The following is a 24,526-nucleotide window of genomic DNA, read 5'->3' as shown; positions in this document are numbered from 1 at the left end:
AAATTTTAATTAAGAAATTTCTTCAGGCCGGGGGTGGTGGCTCACGCCTATAATCCCAGCACTTTGGGAGGCCGAGGTGGGCGGATCACCTGAGGTCAGGAGTTCGAAACCAGCCTGGCCACCATGGTGAAACCCTGTCTCTACTAAAAATACAAGAAATTAACCAGGCATGGTGGTGGATGGCTGTAATCCCAGCTACTCGGGAGGCTGAGGCAGGAGAATCGCTTGAACCCAGGAGGCAGAGGTTGCAGTGAGCCAAGATCGCGCCATTGCACTCCAGCCTGGACAACAAGAGCGAAACTCTGTCTCAAAAAAAAAAAAAAAAGAGATTTCTTCATTGACCCACTGGTCATTCAGTATTATATTGTTTAATTTCAATGTGTTGGTATACTTTCCAAAGTTCTTCTCATTATTGATTTCTAGTTTTGTTCCATTGTGGTCAGAGAAGATACTTGATATGATTTCAATTTGAAAGTTTTTTTTTTTTTTTTTTTTTTTTTTTTTTTGAGACAGGGTCTTGCTCTGTCACCCAGGCTGGAATACAGTGGTGCGATCACAACTCACTGCAGCCTCAACCTTCTAGGCTCAAGCAATATTCCCACCTTGGCCTACTGAGTAGCTGGGACTACAGGCATGTGCCACCACGCCTGGCTAATTTTTGCATTTTTTTTAAAGATGGGATTTCACCATGGTGCCCAGGCTGGTCTTGGACTATTGAGCTCAAGCAATCCACCTGCCTCAGCCTCCCAAAGTGCTGGGATTAGAGGTGTGAGCCAGTGCACCCAGCTTTTTTTTGGATTTTTAAGACTTGTCTTGTGTCCTAATATTTCATGGTCTATACCTGAGAATGATCCATGTGCTGAGCAGAATGTGTAACCTGTAGTTATTGGATGAAATTGTCTGTAAATATCTATTAGGTCCATTAGGTCCGATGTTTCTTTGTTGATTTTCTGTCTGGATGATTTGTGCAATGCTGAAAATGAAGTGGTTAAGTCTCCAACAATTATTGTATTGTGGTCTGTCTCTCTCTTTAGCTCTGAAAATATTTGCTTTATGTATCTCGGTGCTCCATTGTTGGGTGTGTATATATTTACAATTGTTATATCCCTTTGCTGAATTGATCCTTTTAGCATTATATGACTTTCTTTGTATCTTTCCATACTTTTTGTCTTAAGCTCTATTTTATCTAAATATAGCTGCTCCTGCTCTTTTTTGGTTTTCATTTGCATGGGATTTTTTTTCCCTCCCTTTATTTTTAGTCTATGTGTGTCTTTATAGGCAAATCATGTTTCTTATAGGGAACAGATCATTGAGTCTTTTTAAAAATTCATCCAGCCACTCTGTGGCTTTTGACTGGAGATTTAGTCCATGTACATTTAATATTTATAAGTAGAGACCTACTACTGACATTTTGTTATTTGTTTTGGTTGTTTTGTGGCCTTTTCTTTTTCCTTCTTGTCTTCCTTGTGAAAGTGATTTCTTGAATTATATTTTTTGTGTATCTCTTACATATTTTTTATTTGAGGTCAGCATGAGGCTCGTAAATAATATCTTATAACCCATTAATTTAAACTGATGACAATTTAACTTTGCAAAAACAAACCAACAAACAAGCAAAGAGAAAACTAATAAAAACCCTATACTTTAAATTTATCTCCTCTGCTTTTAAACTTTTTGTTGTTTATATTTTAATACTGTGTGTCTTGAGTTGTTGTAGTTGCCGTTTTTTTGTCAGTCCGTCTTTTAGTCTTCCTACTTAAGATATGAGTAGTTTACACATCACAATTACAGTATTATAATATTTTGTATTTATCTGTGCAGTTACTATTGCTAGTGAGTGTTGTATGTTCAGATGACTTTTTATTCGTCATTAGCATCCTTTTCTTTCAGACTGATGAACTCCCTATAGGCTTTCTTGTAGGAGAGGTCTGGTGTTGACAAAATCTCTCAGCTTTTGTTTGTCTAGGAAAGTCTTTATTTCTCCTTCCTGTTTGAAGGGCATTTTCACTGGATATAATATTCCAGGATAAATGTTTTTGTTTTCTTCAGCTCTTTAAATATATCATAATTCTCTCTCCTGGCCTATAAGGTTTCCACTGAGCAATCTGCTGCCAGATGTATTAGAGTTCCGTTTTATGTTGTTTCTTTTCTCTTGCTGCTTTTAGGATCATGTCTTTATCCCTGACATTTGGGAGTTTATTAAATTATCTGAGGTAGCCTTCTTTGGATTAAAGCTGCTTGGTGTTCTATAACCTCCTTGTACTTGAATTTTGACATCTTTCTCCAGGTTTGGAAAGTTCTCTGTTACTATCTCGGAATACACTTTCTACCCCAGTCTCTCTGCCTTCTCTTTAAGCCACTAACTCCTAGATATGCCCTTTTGGGTCTATATACTAGATCCTGTAGGCATGCTTTATTATTCTTCTTCCCTTTGACTCCTCTGACTATATTTTCAAAGAGCCCATCTTCAAGCTCACTATTTCTTCTGCTTGATCAATTCTGCTGTTGAGAGACTCTGATGCATTCTTTAATTTGTCAACTGAATTTTTCAGCTCCAGAATTTCTGCTTGATTCTCTTTAATTATTTCAATGTCTTTTTAAAATTTATCTGATAGGATTCTGAATTCCTGCTCTGTGTTATCTTGGATTTTGTTGAGCTTCCTCAAAATAGCTTTTTTTTTTTTTTTTTTGAGACAGAGTTTCTCTCTGTTCCCCAGGCTGGACTACAATGATGGCATGATCTCGGCTCACTGCAACCTCCGCCTCCTGGGTTCAAGCAATTCTCGTGCCTCAGCCTCCCGAGCGGCTGGGATTACAGGTGTGTCCCACTATGCCCAGCTAATTTTTTTTTATTTTTAGTAGAGACGGGGTTTCACCATGTTGGTCAGGCTGGTCTCGAACTCCTGAACTCAGGTGATCCACCCGCCCGCCTTGGCCTCCCAAAGTGCTGGGATTACAGGCATGCTCCACCATGCCAGGCCAAGATAGCTATTTTGAATTCTCTGACTGAACGGTCACATTAGCTCTGTCACTCCAGAACTGGTCACTGTTGCCTTATTTAGTTCATTTGGTGAGGTCATGTTTTCCCGGATGGTCTTGATGCTTATGGATGTTTGTCAGTACCTGGTCATTGATGAATTAGGTATTTATTCTTATCTTTGTAGTCTGGGCTTGTTTGTACTAGTCCTTCCAGAGAAGACTCTCCATGTATTCAAAGGGGCTAGGATGTGTCTTTGTTCACTGCAGCCATGTTTGCATTAGGGGTCACCCCATGGCCAGTAACTCTGTGACTCTTGTAGACTCACAGAAGTACTGCCTTGGTGGTCTTTGGTAAGATCCAGGAGAATTCCCTAGATTACCAGGAAGTCATTCTTTTCCCTTACTTTCCCTGAATGAATGGAGTCTCTCTGTCTCTGTGCTGAGCTGCCTAGAGTTGGGGAAGGGATGATACAAACACTCCCATGGCCACCAACACTGGGACTGTGCTGGGTCTGACCCGAAGCCAGCGTAGTACTCATTCTTGCCCAAGGCCTGTGGCTACCACTGCCTGGCTACCACTGATGTTTATTCGAAGCCCAAGAGGTCTTAATTCATCAGGTGGTAAATTCTTCCAGGCCTGTTTTTCCCTTTAGGGCAGCGAGTTGCCTTCTGGCCCAGGGTAGGTCTAGAAATCTTGTCCAGGACCTATGGCCTAGAATGAGGCCTTCAGGACACTGCTTGGCACTTTTTTTTTTTTACTGTGGTTGAGATGATATCCAAGTTGCAAGACAACGTCCTCTTTACTCTTCCCTCTCCCCTTGGAGCTGCCAGCTGTGCTGCCTGGAGTTGGGAGAGAGTTGATACAAACACTCTCTTGGCCACTCCAGCTGGTGTGTCACTGGTATGTCACTGGGTAGCAGGTACCCCAAGTCCACTGGTTCTGAGCCAAGCACAGCACTAGGATTTGCCCAGGAATTGCAGTCCTTGTGGCCTAGACTGCCTTTCAGATTTACTTAGGACACCAGAGTGTTTTAGTCTGTGGTGGGGGTACTTGCTGGAACTCAAGTTTCCACCACTGTGGTGGACAATTCTTAGGCTAGAGCTGATTTAAATGCTTCCTCTGGGGGTGCTGGCCAAATTCTGCCCCACGTTGCTTTCTGCTGTGACAGGGCAGCACTGAGTTCCAATGCAGAGTCCCACCATCACTCCATTCTTCCTCCTCCAAACACATAGATTCTCTCTTGTTGCCATGCTGCACTGCCAGGCATTGGGGGAGGGGTGGTGCAGGCATATGATGACTGTCTTTTCTACCCTCCTCAGTGCCTCTTTCTTTGAATACGATGTTAAAACTTGATACTTTGATTGCTCACCTAATTTTTGGTTCCTATGAAGGTGTTTTCTTATGTGGATAGTTGTTCAATTTGGCGTTACTGCAGAGGGGGCAATCGCTGGAGGGCTCTATTTGGCCATCTGGCTCTTCCACTTTCTCCTTTTTAGTTGTTTTGTTTGTTTTTTGAGATAGAGTCTCCCTCTGTCACCTAGGCTGGAGTGCAGTGGCACCATCTCAGCTCACTGCAACCTCCGCCTCCTGGGTTCATGCAATTCTCCTGCCCCAGCCTCCTGAGTAGCCGGGATTACAGGCACACATCACCATACCCAGCTAATTTTTGTGTTTTTAGTAGAGATGGGGTTTCACCATGTTGGTCAGGATAGTCTTGAACTCCTGACCTTGTGATCCACCCACCTCGGCCTCCCAAAGTGCTAGGATTAAAGGTGTGAGTCACCATGTTTGTTTGTTTTTTTTTAAGGAGACAGGGACAGGGTCTTCTGTTACCCAGGCTGGAGTGTAGTGGTGCAGTCATGGCTCACTGCAACCTTAAACTCCTGGGCTCAAGCAGTCCTCCTGCCTCAGCCTCCCAAGTACCAGTTTGTTTCTTGAGCCCTTGTGGATAGACTGGATATCCATATTGGTTTACCCATACTGGATAGGCCATAAATCTTTCTTGTAGATTTACTAGCATTTGTTTTCTGTTTTTACTTATTCTCGTGAATTGTTTTTTCGTGATCTTTCCCCTTTTATCTAGCAGTGACTTTTTTATTTTCTGCTTGTATAGTAAGCTTTCATATAGAAAATACATTAACCATATGACATTACATTTGACTTCAAATATTTCCCCATTCTTTCCTAAGTCTTTTTATTTTATTTACCTCTTATTTTTCTACTTGGTTATATGAAAGTTTTTTTCATTTTTGTGTGATTGGAAGTATTGGCATTCACATTATAATTTTTCTTTTTATTTCCATAGTTAGAAAGAATTTGGGGTAGATTTCATATTATTTTAGTTTGTAATGATTTTGTACTTTATATTGAACTAATTTACCTGGGATTAATTTTGGTGTCTGGTGTGGTTTAAGGATTTCCACATTGAAGATGGGGAGATGGGCTGAGGGGATATGTTAGTATTCCACACAGGAAGGAACAAAGGAAGGTACAAAGGAAAAGGAAGGGAAGCTAAGAGTTTTAGGAAAATGTGAGAGGGAGAAGCAGCTTAACTGATGTGACTTAATGGGATGTGGGGTGGGAAGGACTATAGGAGGAATCTTGGGTTTCTTGTTTTGCTGATGCTGCTAGCTTCACTATAAACATTTCCATTATCTTCCTGTGTTAATTCCTTATTTTGTCTGGTTGTTTTCTGGAACTTCTACTAATAATAATTATAATGGTAGCTACTACCAGTTATTAAGCAACTGCAGGTCCACAAAGCTTTCTCTAGAACCCTTGGAGCAAGATGTGTTTCAGAATTCAGAATGGTGCAGATTTTAGAAAGGTGAACAGGTCATATACTATGTGTGGCATAACATACCCAGCAGGGGCTGGAGCAGTACCCCAAAATCAAACACATTGAGATAGCTGCAAAGACTAGACTTCCTAAGAGCAATAAATGGAGGCTATGAATAGCCTCATTGCATTTCAGATGGGGTTTCACTCCAAATATGTATTCAAAAAGGAAAAGAAAAAAGGAAAGAAGACTTTGGTTCTCAGCTTTTTGAATACTGGAATGGCAGATTAGAGGTCATAGCATGTGCCAGAAATCTCGCACATTATTTCTAATTCTCATGAAAACCTTGTGAGGTACGTGATTATTATCTATATTTTCAAGATAATATGCTTATGGTAATAGAGTTAACAAGTGTGTCACAAGATTATGCAGTTAAATGAAAAACACCTCAGTTAATTCAGTAATGTCTGCCTTTAAAGCACACCTATGAAATAGAAATATAATGTGAGCCACATATGTACTGAAAAAATCTTTAGTATCCACATTCAAATAAAAATCTAAAACCAGTGATATGGTTTGGATCTGTGTCCCCACCAAATCTCATGTTGAAATTTAATCCTCAGTGTTGGAGGTGGGGTCTGTGGGAGGTGATTGGATCATGGGGGTGGATTTCTCACCAAATCTCATGTTGAAATTTAATCCTCAGTGTTGGAGGTGGGGTCTGTGGGAGGTGATTGGATCATGGGGGTGGATTTCTCACCAAATCTCATGTTGAAATTTAATCCTCAGTGTTGGAGGTGGGGTCTGGTGGGAGGTGATTGGATCATGGGGGTGGATTTCTCACCAAATCTCATGTTGAAATTTAATCCTCAGTGTTGGAGGTGGGGTCTGGTGGGAGGTGATTGGATCATGGGGGTGGATTTCTCACCAAATCTCATGTTGAAATTTAATCCTCAGTGTTGGAGGTGGGGCCTGGTGGGAGGTGATTGGATCATGGGGGTGGATTTCTCACCAAATCTCATGTTGAAATTTAATCCTCAGTGTTGGAGGTGGGGCCTGGTGGGAGGTGATTGGATCATGGGGGTGGATTTCTCACCAAATCTCATGTTGAAATTTAATCCTCAGTGTTGGAGGTGGGGTCTGTGGGAGGTGATTGGATCATGGGGGTGGATTTCTCACCAAATCTCATGTTGAAATTTAATCCTCAGTGTTGGAGGTGGGGTCTGGTGGGAGGTGATTGGATCATGGGGGTGGATTTCTCACCAAATCTCATGTTGAAATTTAATCCTCAGTGTTGGAGGTGGGGCCTGGTGGGAGGTGATTGGATCATGGGGGTGGATTTCTCACCAAATCTCATGTTGAAATTTAATCCTCAGTGTTGGAGGTGGGGTCTGTGGGAGGTGATTGGATCATGGGGGTGGATTTCTCACCAAATCTCATGTTGAAATTTAATACTCAGTGTTGGAGGTGGGGTCTGTGGGAGGTGATTGGATCATGGGGGTGGGTTTCTCACCAAATCTCATGTTGAAATTTAATCCTCAGTGTTGGAGGTGGGGTCTGTGGGAGGTGATTGGATCATGGGGGTGGATTTCTCACCAAATCTCATGTTGAAATTTAATCCTCAGTGTTGGAGGTGGGGTCTGTGGGAGGTGATTGGATCATGGGGGTGGATTTCTCACCAAATCTCATGTTGAAATTTAATCCTCAGTGTTGGAGGTGGGGTCTGTGGGAGGTGATTGGATCATGGGGGTGGGTTTCTCACCAAATCTCATGTTGAAATTTAATCCTCAGTGTTGGAGGTGGGGTCTGTGGGAGGTGATTGGATCATGGGGGTGGATTTCTCACCAAATCTCATGTTGAAATTTAATCCTCAGTGTTGGAGGTGGGGTCTGTGGGAGGTGATTGGATCATGGGGGTGGATTTCTCACCAAATCTCATGTTGAAATTTCATCCTCAGTGTTGGAGGTGGGGTCTGTGGGAGGTGATTGGATCATGGGGGTGGGTTTCTCACCAAATCTCATGTTGAAATTAATCCTCAGTGTTGGAGGTGGGGTCTGGTGGGAGGTGATTGGATCATGGGGGTGGATTTCTCACCAAATCTCATGTTGAAATTTCATCCTCAGTGTTGGAGGTGGGGTCTGTGGGAGGTGATTGGATCATGGGGGTGGGTTTCTCATGAATGGCTTAGCACCATTCCCTTGGTGGTGTCTTAGCAATAGGGAGTGATTCTTACAAAATCTGATCGTTGTAATATGTGGCACCTCCTCCACACTCTCTCTCCTTGTTTCACCATGTGATGTGCCTTCTCCTACTTCGTCTTTCACCATGAGTAAGAGCTCACTGAGGCCTCCCCAGAAGCCAAGGAGGTGCCAGCACCATGCTTGTACAGCCTACTGAACCAGGAGCCAATTGAACCTCTTTTGTTTATAAATTACCCACTCAAGTATTTATTTATAGCAATATAGGAACTTCCTAATACAAACAGGTAAAATTAATTTTAGTAATATATGTATTTAACCTAATATATCCAACATATTATATCATATAACCAGCATTTTTACAATGAGATACTTTATACTTTTTTGTAGTAAATTTTCACAGTCTGGCATATGTTTTATACTCATAGTATACCTCAAACCAGCCACATTTCAATTCCTCAGTAGCTACAGGTGACTAATGGCTACTATATTGGATAGCATAGTTCTAAAGCCTGTGTTTATCATGCCACATTCACTCAGGTTTATAGTCAGTTTGCCATACAAGTAGTTATTTTATATCACCTTGGACTTTGGCACCCTATGCCAGCCATATTGATCTATTTTACTACAAAATAGATTCCTTCTTTTAGTCTAATCTCTTACCTATTTTTCTGAGCTTTTCCTGCTTCTTGCTAAAGACTTCACCTTTGTAAATATCTAAATACAGTCATATGCTGCATAATGATGTTTCAGTCCAGTCAACAACAGACTACATATATGGCCATGGTTCTATAAGATCATAAAACTGTTATTTGTACTGTACCTTTTCTACATTTATGTATATTTAGATACATAAATACTTATCATAGTGTTAAAATTGCCTACAGGATTCAATACAGTAACGTCATGTACAGGTTTGTAGCCTAGGAACAGGCTATACAATATAACATAGGTGTATAGTAGGCTATACTATCTAGGTTTATGTAAATCTACTGTAAGATGTTTGCACAATGATGAAATTGCCTGACAATGCATGTCTTACAACATGTTCCCATTGTTAAGCAACCCGTGACTGTACTCAATTCTAATTTTTACTAGTTCTTTTTAAATTTGATCTTAAGAATACATTTTTTAAAATCTACAACTTTATTGAGGTAAACATCATAAAAGTCACTATATCTAGAATATAATTAAATGATTTTGGATAAATTTACAGAGTGTGTAACCATCAATATGATCCAGTATTAGAACATTTTTATCACCCCTGTAAGATTCTTCATGTCCATTTTCAGTTAATCCCCATTCCTACCTTGAGCCCCAGGCAACCACTTATCTTCTGTCTCTGTAGACTTACCTTTTCTGGACACATTCTCTAATAAACATACATTTATCCATTGAACAACCTGTGGAGTTCAATGTGCCGTATATGGCATAAAAGTTATCGTATAAATAAAATCTTATTCATTTTCAAATTACACTCTTCTGAACTCTGGTTATTAAATATCTCTGTAAAGCCTTTAGTATAGTCATCAAAACCACAATAAAACACTAAAAAGTTATGTTTTGGTAATCATAATTGTTGTTGTGATTAATAATGATAATTACATTTATATTGTAGAATCTTCATTTTTTCAGCATGGAAAAGGAGAAACATTTAATTCCTTTATGTCTTTCAGACTCGGGGTCTAAATGTGAGACCAAGAAGTTACCTCCAAATCAATGCAACAAATCTGGGCAAAGCATCTGCCAGAAACTAGTTTCTGCACAACAAAAAGCTCCTACACGAAAGAGTGGCTGCAACAAAAATTCAGTCCTAGTAAAACCTAAGAAAGGGCATTCAGGGAAGAAACCTTTAAAATGTAATGACTGTGGTAAAACCTTTAGTCGAAGCTTCTCTCTTAAACTTCATCAGAACATTCATACAGGAGAGAAGCCTTTTGAATGCAGTAATTGTAGAAAAGCTTTCAGACAGATCTCATCCATCCTACTTCATCAGAGAATTCACAGTGGAAAGAAAAGCCATGAATGCAATAAATGTGGGGAAAGCTTCAATCAAAGAACAACCCTTATTCTACATATGAGAATTCATGATGGAAAGGAAATTCTTGACTGTGGGAAGGCCTTGAGTCAATGTCAGTCTTTCAATATACATCAGAAAATTCATGTTGTTGGGAATGTCTGCCAGTGCAGAAAGTGCGGAAAAGCCTTCAATCAGATGTCATCCCTTTTACTTCATAAGAAAATTCACAATGGAAAGAAAACACATAAATATAATAAATGTGGGAGAGGCTTCAAAAAGAAATCAGTCTTTGTTGTACATAAAAGAATTCATGCTGGAGAGAAAATCCCTGAAAATGCGAAGGCCTTAAGTCAGAGTCTACAGCAAAGAAGTCACCATTTAGAGAATCCTTTTAAATGCAGAAAATGTGGGAAATTATTTAATAGGATTTCACCCCTGATGCTTCACCAGAGAATTCACACTTCAGAGAAACCGTACAAATGTGATAAATGTGACAAGTTCTTCAGGCGGCTTTCAACCCTTATTCTGCATCTAAGAATTCATAATGGAGAAAAACTATACAGATGCAATAAATGTGAGAAGGTCTGCAATCGGCATTCATCCCTTATTCAACATCAGAAAGTTCATACAAAGAAAAAGAAACTATTTGAGTGTAAGGAATGTGGGAAGATGTTTTCTGGAACTGCAAACCTTAAAATACATCAGAATATTCATTCTGAAGAGAAACCTTTCAAATGCAATAAATGTAGTAAAGTTTTCGGCCGCCAATCATTTCTTATTGAACATCAAAGAATTCATACTGGAGAAAAACCCTACCAGTGTGAGGAATGTGGAAAAGCCTTCAGCCACCGAATATCTCTCACACGACATAAGAGAATTCATACTGAAGATAGACCCTATGAATGTGATCAGTGTGGGAAGGCCTTCAGCCAGAGTGCACACCTCGCCCAACATGAAAGAATTCACACTGGAGAGAAGCCATATACATGCAAAACATGTGGTAAGGCCTTTAGTCAGCGCACATCTCTTATTCTACATGAAAGAAGTCATACTGGAGAGAAACCCTATGAATGTAATGAATGTGGGAAGGCATTTAGCAGTGGCTCAGACCTTATTCGACATCAGAGAAGTCATTCTTCAGAGAAACCCTATGAATGTAGTAAATGTGGGAAGGCATATAGTCGGAGTTCATCCCTGATTCGACATCAGAATACACATTCTGAAGAAAAAGCCTAAGGTTGTTTTAAATCTATAAAATCAACGAATGAGGCTATCAAACATATGGCAAATATGTATTTGTCTATAATGTAAATTTTGTGTATATGGGACCATTTGATGATATGTCCCACTTTGAAAGCCAAAGAGCAAAAGTCATTGGTGATTTTGACCTCAGGATTTGAAATTAACTGAAGGAAACTCAGAAGTTTGGTCAGTCATTGTGAATGAAGATCATTTTTCATTTGATAAGAATTACTGGCTGGGCGCAGTGGCTTACACCTGTAACCCCAGCACTTTGGGAGGCTGAGACAGGCGGATCACGAGGTCAAGAGTTTGAGACCACGGTGAAACCCTGTCTCTACTAAAAAATACAAAATTAGCTGGGCGTGGTGGTGCGCACCTGTAATCTCAGCTACTGGAGAGGCTGAGGCAGGAGAATCGCTTGAACCCAGGAGGTGGGGGTTGCACCGAGCAGAGATTGCACCACTGCACTCCAGTCTGGGCAACAGAGCAAGACTCTGTGTCAAAAAAAAAAAAAATTACCGATATTTTACTTCCAGCATAGTTTTAAAGATAATTTATTGGTCACATACAACAAAATAGAATTGTGAAGTCCATTATAGGGCTCTGAGCCTGATTTAAGGTCACAGAAAAAAGAATTTGAGTCTGTTTCTCAGATCTAGAATTATCAAATATAAGGAACTTCTCGGCAAAACAGGGTGCCACTTTCAGCTGACAAACTTGTGGGTGAGAATAAAGAAAAGTGAGTCTTTAGGTAGATAAAGTTGTCACTCATAATGGTGTGTAACAGTAGAAACCTTACTTTACCATCTCCACGGATATGAGGATATATGATCTTCATGGTGTGAACGTCTAACTTGGCTGAGACAAGCTATCAGTAAAAGAACCAAGATATAGTGAAGAATGAGGATTTCAGAGCCAGGAGAAATCAGTATTGTTTTATTTGGAAATAAATCATCTATATTTATATGAGTAAACATTGGTATTTTCATGTAACAATACTGGTATGCAATAAGTGGTGTAATATGAGTTGTTATGGACTGAATGTTTATGTCCCTCCCAAAACTAATTATGTTAAAATCCTCACCATCAATGTGATGTTACTTGGAAATGAGGCATTTGGGAGGCAATTAGGATTAGATGAGGTCATGAGGGTGGAGCCCTCGTGATGGGATTAGTGCCTTTATAAGAAGAGACATCAGGCTGAGCCCGGTGGCTCATGCCTGTAATCCCAGCACTTTGGGAGGCCAAGGCGAGTGGATCATGAGGTCAGGAGATTGAGACAATCCTGGCTAACACGGTGAAACCCCGTCTCCACTGAAAAAAAATACAAAAAATTAGCCAGGCACAGTGGCATGTGCCTGTAGTCCCAGCTACTCGGGAGGCTGAAGGAGAAGAATCGCTTGAACCCAGGAGGCGGAGGTTGCAGTGAGCCAGGATCACGCCACTGTACTCCACCCTGGGCGACAGAGCGAGACTACGTCTCAAAAAGACATCAGAAAGCCTGCTTGCTCTCTGCACCATGTGAGGATGCAGGAAGAAGCCAGCTGTCTACAGAACAGGAAGAGAACCCTACGAGAACCTAACCATGCTGGCGACCTGTTCTCAGACTTCCAGACTTCAGAACTGTGAGAAGTAAATTGTTGTTTAAGCCACCCAGTCTATGATGTTTTGTTATGGCAGCCCCAGCTAATATATGGAGTGGAAAGCCTAGATTTATCTACTGGGTTCTTTTCCTGTCAGCAGTTCAACATGTGTAGTAGCTTTCAGTCTCTGCTGTTTGTGCCAAATATATAAGAAATAAAATCAGATAACTTTTTTGTAATTGGATCATACACAGTTGGGCTCTTCTGTTTAAGTTTTCCTTCTGTAAAAGTTATTTTTGAGAATACCTTAAGTTTAAGATGACTTTGTGGAATGTGTGGAATGTATATGGGTTAGGTCATCCTAACTTTGACCACAATTGATAAAACAACAATCCAAATTGTGAGGGGTGAGCATGCATACAGGATAGTACAACTAACTTCCCATTTAAACTTGTTCTTTCGTATTTGTAAAGCAAGCATAAAAATCCACCCCTTGGAGCAAATGGGTGAGCAAACAGCACAGAGGTAACTCATGGAGAGGCAGGTCTTTTTTCCCCCTCTTTTCTACACACACCCTCTAGCTTGTTAATTCCTCTGCCAATCTGCCATACAAATACATGTCAGTCCCAAATGAATTGTGACACACCTGAAGACTAGGGAGAAGCAAGAGAATGCCCTGCCCACAGTCACCTAATTTCCTCAGGCTTATCTCATTGCCTATTGCATTTCTTGCTCCTCTTGGGGATTTCAAGAGAGCATTAGAATGGCAATACATGATACAGTTAAACTTAACTTGGAATTACTTGTGAGAATTGCATATCCTCACTGCTTTATTTCTGGCCCAGTCAAAAATTCTCATTTCATCTAGTTTTGTCTATTCTCTCCTATTCTTAAGCTCTTAAAGGCATTTGTGAAAGTGCAATAAAGGTAAAGTAACTTTGGGTTCATGTGTCCTCCCAACTGCTTGGAACTCAATTATATCCTAATAGGCCGAATCATTTATTATTTAAATTATTTTGCATTACATGAATTTAAAAAATATATCCAAACTAAGAAGGAAATCAACTTTGTGTTTTTTTAAAGTCCTGAAAACTTAACTGGCAAGAAAAATGTTTTGCTTTACTCCTAGACTGTTGTAAGAGAGCCCATTATTACAGTATTTTGCTTTTAATAGATGCCTATAGATTTCCAGCTTTCATTAGCAAATATTTTCGCTGCACATTTGTTGTGCATGTAAACACCCTGGACCAATCACTGCTAAATCCTGTGGATATGTAAACTAATAAGACACTGTTCTTGCCAGCAGACACTTACAGTTTACCAGGGAATTCAGGTAATAAAATATGGAATTCTGTATAAGGTGCATAGGTAGTACGGAGAAGAGGATGATAAACTTCATGGTGATGGAGGTATGGGGACAGGGATTGTTTTTGCAGATAATATTAAAGGAAGAATGTGAATTTGCTAGGCACACAAAAGTTGGAAAGCTAAAGAGAAAATTACAGATGGATAAAATAATGGCAAACAATAATAAAGTATTTGGGGAGTTACAAGTTCCAGCGTTTAGTACAATGACACATAATTCAATGGTTAGCACTCAATAAGTATTTGAATGAATGAAAATATATTAGTATAGATGGGCTATCTGAAGCATAATCCAATGGGACCTAAACCTGAAGATCACCCTGACATTGAGATAGACCCTTGGGAAAACCAGTTCGGACCCTAAAGATAAGGAATCACTATTCATATCTGAAACCTATGGTGAACTTATAACCACAGCAACAACAAACCATAAACCTTCCTCAATTCCTAGCTATAATTATAAAAATCTTACCCATCCACCTCCCACACACTAAAGGCTACATAGAAAGACATGCCCTTTCCAGGAATTAAATCCATTTACCTTCATATCTATTGTTCTACAGAAGATACTTGGCTTTCAGGAAAAAAAAAATGCAAGGCATACAAAAATGCAAAAATGAACACCTTACCCCACCAAGAAACAAAATTCATCAGAACTAGACTCAGAAATACATAGCTGTTGGACTGACATGGAATTTAAAGGAACTATGAGTAGTATCTTAAGAGTTATAATGGAAAATGCACAACAGGCAAGATTAGATGGATAATTTGAGCAGAGACACAAAAACTATAAAAATAAAATGGGGCTGGGCGTGGTGGCTCACGCCTGTAATCCCAGCACCTTGGGAGGCCAAGGTGGGCGGATCACGAGCTCAGGAGATCGAGACCATCCTGGCTAACACGGTGAAACCCCGTCTCTACTAAAAAATACAAAAAAAAGTAGCCAGGCGTGGTGGTGGGCACCTGTAGTCCCAGCTACTCGGGAGGCTGAGGCAGGAGAATAGCGGGAACCCGGGAGGCGGAGCTTGCAGTGAGCTGAGATCACGCCACTGCACTCCAGCCTGGGAGACAGAGCGAGACTCAGTCTCAAACAATAACAAAAAGAATAAAATGGAAATACTAGAAATGAAAAAACTCAATAAGCACATGAACAATTGTCTTCAACAGGCTCATCAATATACTTGACATAGTCAAGGAAAAAGTAAATGAACTTGACGTTAGGACAATAAAAGTTACTCAAACTGAAACATAAGTGGGGTAGGGTAGGACAAGAAGGAACAGAGAATCCAAGAGCTCTGAGAAAATATCCATTGGTCCAACACATACACATAATTGGAATCCCAGAAGATACAGAATAAATGGGACAGAAGAAATATTTGAAGACATAATGGCCAATATGTTTCCAAAATTTATGAACCCAGAAAACACAAATCTATGAAGCTCAGAGAACCTCAAGGAAGGTAAATATTAAAATCACTCACACACACACACAAACACACACCACCCCAGCCATATTATGTTCAAACTACTGAAAATAATCTTGAAGCAAGCTAGAGAGGGGAAAAAATTACATATAGAAGAACAAAGTTAAGAAAATTACAGCAGACTTATCAGAAGTATTGCAGGCCAGAGGACAATGTAATGGCATCTTTTAAGAGCTGAAGGAAAAAATCTGTCTTCATGAAATGCTCATGAAAATCTTTCAAACTGATAGAGAAATACTCTCAGAGAAACAAAACTGAGAAAATAATACATTAAGAGAAGACCTACTCTACAAGAAAAGTTCTTCAAACAGAAGGAATATGAAACACAGCAGACATTTGGAGATACATAAAGAAATGAAGAGATGCGGAAATGGAATACATGAAGGTAATAACTTTAAAAACTTATCTTAAAAAGTAACTGGCTGTCTTAGAGTAAAAATGTACCATGTAAACAGCATATGAAAGTAAAATATGATAAGCATAATGGATGTCGGAGAAAATGGGAATATATAAAATACTAACATGTTAAGTTGTGTATTATTTGAATGTATATTCCAATTAAAGAAGTAACAACTGAAAATGTTCAATGAGATGTAAACAATAATATAAAATAGAATTATTAAAAATGGTCATTTAGATCATAGAAGGCAAAAATAGAACAAAAACTAAAGAACAGAACAATTAGGATAGAGTTAACAAGGTGGAGATTTTAATCTAACTATATATTTAAAAATATCAAATGTAAATGGTCTAAATATACCAGTTAAACGACAGAGATTCTATGATTGAATGAAAAAGCAGTATCCAACTATATGCTGTCTACCAGAAACATACTTTAAATATAAAGGCATAGAAAAATGGTGGGAAAAAGATACACCACGCAAACATTAACAAAAAAGCAGAAATGACTATATTACTATCAGATGAAGTAGACTTCAGAACAAGGAATACAATCAGGGATAAAGAGTGAGATTACATAATGATAAAAGTTCTGTTTACTGGGAAAATGTATTTATTTATTGATTGATTTTTTTAAGACAGAGTTTCGTCTCACTCCTGTCTCCCAGGCTGGAGTGCAATGGCGCAATCTCAGCTCACTGCAACGTCCACCACCCGGATTCAAGCAATTTTCCTGCTTCAACCTCCCAAGTAGCTGGGACTACAGGTGCCTGCCACCATGCCTGGCTAATTTTTGTATTTTTAGTAGAGATGGGGTTTCACCAGGTTGGTCTTGAACTCCCGACCTCAGGTGATCCACCTGCCTCAGCCTCCCAAAGTGCTGGGATTACAGGCATGAGCCACCACGCCTGGCCGGGAAAATGTAATTCTAAATGAGTACACATTGAATTGCAAGGAAAAATGATAGAACTGAAAAGAGAGAAAGACAAACTGACAATTGTCATTGGAGACTTCATCACTCCTCTTGGTAATTAATAGAACAAGTAGACAAAAAAAAAAGATATAGAAGACCTCAACAACATAATCAACCAACTTGACCTGGTTGACATTTGTTAATATAAAATATTCCAAACAATCCAGGCAGGGTACACATTCCTTTTAAGTGTTCATGAAACATTTACCAAGACAGAGTATAAATATTGATAAATTAAAAAAATTATTTTGCAAACTATGTTCCTTGACTATACCAGAATTACAGTTGCAGTAAACACAGACATCTGAAAATATTTGGAAGGCTTAAATTACAAATTCCATTTTTTTTTGAGACAGAGTCTTGCTCTGTCGCCTAGGCTGGAGTGCAGTGCCGGGATCTTGGCTCACTGCAAGCTCTGCCTCCCAGGTTCATGCCATTCTCCTGCTTCAGCCTCCTGAGTAGCTGGGACTACAGACGCCCACCACCACGCCCAGCTAATTTTTTTGTATTTTTAATAGAGACGGGGTTTCACCATGTTAGCCAGGATGGTCTCGATCTCCTGAGCTCATGATCTGCCCACCTTGCCCTCCCAAAGTGCTGGGATTACAGGCGTGAGCCACCGCGCTTGGCCACAAATTCCATTTTTCTAATATAGAACTGAGTATTTCTTCAGTAAACCTTGTTAGCTTCTTTCAAGAATTTTTAAATTGTCAAATTATTTGCATAAAGTTCATAACATTCTTTTATTCATTTAATAACTATCATTTGTAGTGATATCACATCTGCCATTCCAGATAGTGATAACTTGTATAATCTCTTTTTTAATTGTCTGCAATTTTTTTGTTTATTTCATTGACCTTCTCAAAGAACCAGCTTTTGTTTTTCAGGTTTCTATTTCATTGGCTTCCATTCTGATTTTTATTATTTCCATTCTTGTGTTAACGTTGGGTTTCATTGCTCTTCTATTTCTAATTTGTTAGGTGGAAATAGGAGTCACTGATTTGAGTCATTTGTTTTGTAACATTGGCATTTAGTGCCACTGTATTTCTTTCCAAGTACTGTGGTACATCCCATACATTTTGATGTACTTTTCTCTAAGTTTCATTCAACTCAAAATATTTATTTTCCCTTTTGATTTCTTCTTAGAAATATGGTTACTGAAAAGTGTGCTCTTTTGTTCTAAATATTTGGGTGTTTTCTAATTACTTTTCTGTTATTGATTTAAATCCATTCTGGTTAGAAAACATATTTTGTATGACTTCAGTCCTTTTCAGTTTACTGATATGTGTTTTAAGGTCTGGAATTATTGTCTGTCTGGGTGAATGTTCTGGGTTCATTTGAAAAGAATGTGTGTTTTACTCTTCTTGGGGTGAATAGTTCCACAAATGTCAGTTAGGTCAAGTTGGTGATAATATTCAAGTCTTCAATATCCTCACTATTTTTTCTATTTATATGTTCTATTGAGAGGCATGCTGAAATCTCCAATTATAATTCTGGATTTGTTTATTTCTCCTTGTAGTTCTTTAAGTTCTTTCCCCAATTTCAGGTAGTTGCTTCACATCCATATTCTGATCTGTACTCAGATAAAAAAAAAAAAAAAAAAAGAGGAACACACTGTAGATTACTAGATGCTTTTTTTTCCCTTTTCTGAGAGCTGTCTCCTCTCAAACTCTCTATCCTGGGAACTCTAGCCACCTTGATCTCCCTGACTCCCAGCTCCATCACCTTAATTCGTGGAGATCTGTACCACAGCCTGGAAACTACATGCAGTTGTCTGGGGAAATCATAGGACTCACCTCATTTGTTTCTAATTTCTCAGGGATCATTATTTTATTGCCTGGTGTCGTTTTTTAGTATTTCAGGTGGGAGATTAAATTATTCCCTAGGACTCCATCTTTGCCAGAAGTGTAGATCTCAGATAAGCATTTAGAGAGGGCGGTAATAATGAGGAATCTAGGATTTTTAATTTTTTTAAATAATATCGCAATTAACATTCTTGTACATATGCTTTTGTAAAGATTTACCAATATTTTTAGAGAATAAATTATTGGGTCAAAACGTAGGTATATTTAACATATATTACCAACTTGTCTTTCCTATCCAAACTACTATCTAGAGTGAAGTAGGATTCTTAAGAGGAATTTTATGTATGTTTGTTCATTGCTGCCTGCATCTCCCCCCTTCCCCACACAACTATCAGGATATATCAGTGAAATTTTTTCAGATTTTCTTCTGACTTTTCCTCCATTATGGAGACTTTCTCTCGCTCTGCTTTTCCCAGAGGGCAGAGACTACCAAAGATGCTGGCACATTGTTGTAGTGTGAACTTACTATTTCTGTATTATATTTTCAAGTATGTGATATGAGGTAGTGCAATTTTCTCATTCCATGATGCTAGCACATTCTTTTCATTTTGTTCAGTTTTAATGAAGGGGTGTTCTGTAATTTTGAGCTTACCATTATCGATAAGATCTGCGAATGGCTGGAGTTTTTAATTTTTGAATGAAATGAGCTTTTCCTGATCTACTTATTTATCAAAGGACAGTGCTTTACACTAGCAGATAATTGGTTTTACCCCAGTGAATCTGAAACCTTAATGTGTACAGATCATCTGGAGATCTTGTAAAACTGCAGATTCTGAATGATTAAGTCTGGGTTAAGGCCCAAGATTCTGGAATTTTAACAAACTCTCAGGTGATGCTGATGCTGTTATTCCATGGCGCAGACTTTTGAGTAGCAAGGATTAGTCTTTACTTTGCATTCTTGCACATCACTGGCAGTATTTTATTTCCTCTATTACATGATAAACCTTTTTTTTTTTTTGAGACGGAGTCTTGATCAGTCGCTTAGGCTGGAGTGCAGTGGCGGGATCTTGGCTCACTGCAAGCTCCAACTCCCAGGTTCCCGCTATTCTCCTGCCTCAGCCTCCTGAGTAGCTGGGACTACAGGCGCCCACCACCATGCCCAGCCAATTTTTTTGTATTTTTAGTAGAGATGGGGTTTCACCATGTTAGCCAGGATGGTCTCGATCTCCTGACCTCGTGATCCACCCGCCTAGGCCTCCCAAAGTGCTGGGATTACATGATAAACCATATTTTAAAACTCATGCATTTCCTCCTTAAGCCCTCCTGTCACTCACACGACACTCTGCAACTATAATAGAGTTTACGAGTGCTTCCAAAGCCAGAATGTTTGAAGTGATGTTGTGGCTGCAACCAAGGTGCCCTTTCTTTTGCCCTTCCAGATATGCTGCTGCTTTAGGAAAATTCTGTGCTCCTCAATGCAGCAGTAGTTTCTTTCCCAGGATTCTCACCACATTTAGCCGCACCTCTTTGTGGATTTTGAAGCTCAGAATTATAGATGTTTCTTCACTTCATTAAAGACGAAGCCTCTACATGCATTTCTTACTCTTGTTGCTTTAACTTGGTTTCAGAAAGGAGAAACAAACAGAAACTACTTAATTCCATCTTGTTAAATGCAGAAGTTAGTAAATATTTTTAAAGGCTTCTCACACATATATTCAAACTTGTTTCCTTGTGGGAATACACCAGTCTACCACTCTGCTGTGGAGAATAGGATAAGGGAGTAGGAAAATGAAGTTCCTTACCTGAAGGCCACAGTCTCTATAGATCAGATCTGCTTTCCTTTATACATGCAAACCATCTCATTTTCTGTGAGTTGTATCTCTGACACTTTCTGCGAGGGAGACCTTCTGTGGAGTGTATTAAAAGGAACCCCCGTGAACTGTCTCACTTTCTGTGGGTTGTATCTCTTACACTTGCTGTGAGGGAGGCCTTCTGTGGAGTGTCTTAAAAGGAACTCCCCTGAAGTCCCCTGGCATGCTGGATCCAGGTGATGCTAAACCAATTCTTGTCACCACAGCCCCAGCCTCTTTCTGCTGGGGTTACTTTATCATGCAACCTTCTCTGGATTACTGGCAAGACAGTTTAATTACAAGCCACTGTGTGCTATGTCCATTTGACCCACAGACATGTAACTTACCTATGCTACAGAGTCTGAGGCAGCACCCCTGAATTGAACAAATTAATATTTCTGAAGAAAAAGATATGAATGTTTATACTAACTGGGATCAATGTCAATAAATACCCTCATGTCAATTCAGGTCAGGTTTTGCCATTATGAGAGCTGATTCTCAACCTCCCTTCAACCAGCCCCAATTCTGTGTGTTTTTTTTGTGAATTGGTCAGTTCAGTGATTCAGTCTCTCTGGAAGAGGCATGTACACTTGACACAGGCTGGCTAGAGTACCCCACATACCATGGACCCAATGACTGGTTCAGAGTGGGCACACAGCCAAAACTGAAACAAATCATATTTTCCTCCCAGGGATTGACACGGAGGCAGAGAGACAGAGATATTGCCCTACTTTTGAGATTAAATATTCTATGGACATTTTAAGTCTAATATCCTCAGATGCCATTTCTTTCCCACCAAGAGACAGAACCTGGAGAGAAGGAAACTACTGAAAGCAGAGCTGAGTTACAAACCTCTGATAAGTCTGAGCACTTAAATCCAGCCTAACACTATGCCATACATGTTCAATGCTTTTTAGTTACAAGAATCAATAACCTGTTTCCTAAACTAATTTTGTTTGGTTTCTATCAATCCTGACTACTGTTGCTGTTTCTGGATTTATTTTTATACGCTCTTTATAAGTCTTTTATGAAAGGAAAGGATGTAAGTCATCCCATGTGAGTTTATCACATTTGTTGCATTTTTAACTTGAAATATAGCTAACCTGTATTTTCTTATTCTGTCAACTTTAGGCAGATCTCCTGAATCTCCTCTGCACAATGAGATTATTGCCACTTATCCTTGCTTCAATCTTTCATTTTCCAATCTACCTTCCACCATCCAATCAATCAGCTATATTCTGCCTTTCACATTACTAGATATTTATGTTACAGATAATACTTCAGTGATTTCTATATTCTAAATGTATAAAATAAAATAGCATTGCATTACTACCAACATTTGTTATTCTCTGAAGAGCCAGAGCCAAGTAATATGTAAAGATTACATTCCTCCTCTACACATCCAATGTTATGATCTTAGTACTCACTCAAAGGGAACTATCGTCATATCAAATGGATTTTCCTTTTTCAGTTTTCTAAAATCATGCAACATTTCATGGGGAGTTGCTTAACGTTAAGACTATGATATCTAGTTTGGTTTTTTCTTTGTCTTTCCCAGAGCCAGTAATTATCTTTCTTTCCTTCTCGTATGAACAAAATTTTATCTCCATCATATTGCTAAGATCCTCCAACTTCATATGAATTCTGTTTAATGGAACTCATTCCATCCTTCAAAAAGTTTTTCTTCACTGGCTCCCTGGATTCTTAGTCTACCAATAATTTGGTTGGATTGTTTTCTACACTTATTGCCAAGTGGGTATCCTTGTAATCCTCAACTCCAGTTTCTTGGGTTACAGCCACTGTTCACTTCAGCCTATCCTGCTGTCTTCTTCCTTTTTCATCTACATTTTGCTTGAGTGACTCCTTTAATATCCTGGATAATGGAAATAAATTCCATGACTGAAAACATCAATATTTGGCCTCATGCTTTAAATATTGTTGGCCAAGTATAGACTTCTAGGTCCAAAGTAATTTTATCTCATAAGTTGGAAAGTGCTATTCTGTATTCTATCCAATATTTATGATAGGAGGAAGGGCTAAAATCATCTTGACTGTTGTTCTTTTTTAGGTGACCTAATCATTTTTGAAAGCTTTTAGAATGTTTTCTTCTTTAATATTCTGAAATTTCACAAGCATATTTCTGGATTTTCCTGTTGTGGTTTTCCTAGTTCATCCTATACAACATTCAGTGAGCTAACCCAAGCTGAACATGCTTGCCTTGTTTCAGTTTAGAAAGATTCTCAGTCATTCGATACATTCTTATATTTTCTGTGAAATTTTTCCCAAAACATTGATATTGGACCTTGTAAATTTCCATGTCCCTTTTTCTCATTTTTCTTTTTAATTTATGCATCTAAGGTTTCTTTTCTTTCTAACCTTTATTAAATTTATTACAGTGTATTTTTTTATTTCTTAGTTCTTATCTAATTGTTCCCTTTATTTTGTAGTTTCAAATTGCAGGCTAAAATCAATTTTTCATTTTCTTCTGTTATTACATGACTTTCCCCACTCAGGATTCAATTATATCTCTTGGTCCTTATTATGCTGGTGGTTTTCTTCAAGTGATGATACTTAGCTATCAGTTGCCATTTAAGTATTACATGGTTTGATTACCATAGGTAAATGCCAGGGGGTCCTTTGTATATTTCCACTGTAGGTCTGTTTGCCTAAATTGGAAGGGTTACCAGGGTATCTGTATGCCTGGGAAGGGCTGGCAAGTCAAGGAGAGATGCTCCAAATTCCAAAAAAGAGTTTTAACTTAGACTGCCAACTTTTCATTCTAGGTGTCCAGTTCGTTGTAAACTCAATTTTTTCATGTTAAAGTTTTTTTTTTAATTATTACATTGATGTTTAAAACTTCAAACAGTACAAATAACACTAAATCTTCCTTTGACCAGAGCATCCAATACCAGTCCCTTCCTAGAGGAAACATTTATCAGTTGGGTGTCTGTTCAGAACTTTCACTAAGCATTTGCATACTTCTATAAATGCATTAGAAATAAAATATATTTTTAAATATACAATAGTGTATGCGAAATTTTTACATTTTCAACCAGTAAGTCCTTTAGTCAAATTCGTATCAATATTATCAGCCCATTCTTTTAAACTCCAGCATAGAACTCCTAGTCATTACTTTACTGATAGAAATTTAGGTTGTTTTCAGTGTTTCAAATACTAACTGTACCCTACAAAGTGGCTATAGTGAGCATTTTAAAAACTTCACTGCCTCTAAAGTAGCTGTGATGAGAAATCCTGTCTCCACACCACGACCAATATCTGGTATTATACTGTCTCAATTTGAATCTCTCCACCCGTGATTCCAGCACTTTGGGAGGCTGAGGGAAGAGGACCACTTGAGCCCAGGAGTTTGAGACCAGCCTCAGCAACAAAGTGAGACTTCATCTCTACAAAATAAATAAATAATAAATGAGCAAATTTGCATAACTTAATACTAATGAGGTTAAGCAGAGACTTAGACATCTGTATGTCTTCCACAATTTGGCCATTCTCATCTTTGCACATTTATATACTTGCTTAGTTGTCCTTTACTTATTGACTTATATGTGTTCTTACATGTGTCCGTTATGTGTTTCTTCCTTCCTGTTGCTTATCTTTTAACTTTCTTTAAAAGCACACTAATTTTTGTTGTTGTTGAGACCGAGTTTCACTCTTGTTACCCAAGTCGGAGTGCAATGTCGCGATCTCAGCTCACTGCATTCTCTGCTTCCTGGGATCAAGCCATTCACCTGCCTCAGCCTCCCAAGTGGCTGGGTTTACAGGTAGCCCCACCACACCCAGCTAATTTTGTATTTTTAGTAGAGACAGGGTTTCACCATGTTGATCAGGCT

General features: G+C 38.9%; 1 protein-coding gene across 20 annotated transcripts in view; it reads left to right on the top strand.

Annotated features, from left to right (window-relative positions):
- Positions 1-13,046, top strand: part of ZNF667 (zinc finger protein 667) — a 38,765-nt gene extending 25,719 nt beyond the window's left edge. For 19 of the 20 annotated variants that reach the window (XM_024451637.2, XM_024451642.2, XM_047439212.1 and 16 more), the window contains one exon: positions 9,634-13,046. In XM_024451637.2, coding sequence (XP_024307405.1) covers positions 9,634-11,213 — 1,580 coding nt within the window. In that variant the 3' untranslated portion in view covers positions 11,214-13,046. Of the gene's footprint in view, positions 1-2,717; positions 2,819-9,633 lie in introns of all 20 variants that reach the window. The other variant, NM_001321355.2, reaches the window with a different exon arrangement.
- The last annotated feature ends 11,480 nt before the right edge of the window (positions 13,047-24,526 follow it).

Source organism: Homo sapiens, chromosome 19 (genome assembly GCF_000001405.40).
Source record: "Homo sapiens chromosome 19, GRCh38.p14 Primary Assembly".
In the NCBI taxonomy this organism is placed as follows: domain Eukaryota; kingdom Metazoa; phylum Chordata; class Mammalia; order Primates; family Hominidae; genus Homo; species Homo sapiens.
The sequence above is the reverse complement of the archived record's forward strand: the minus strand, read 5'-3'. Positions and strand labels throughout refer to the sequence as shown.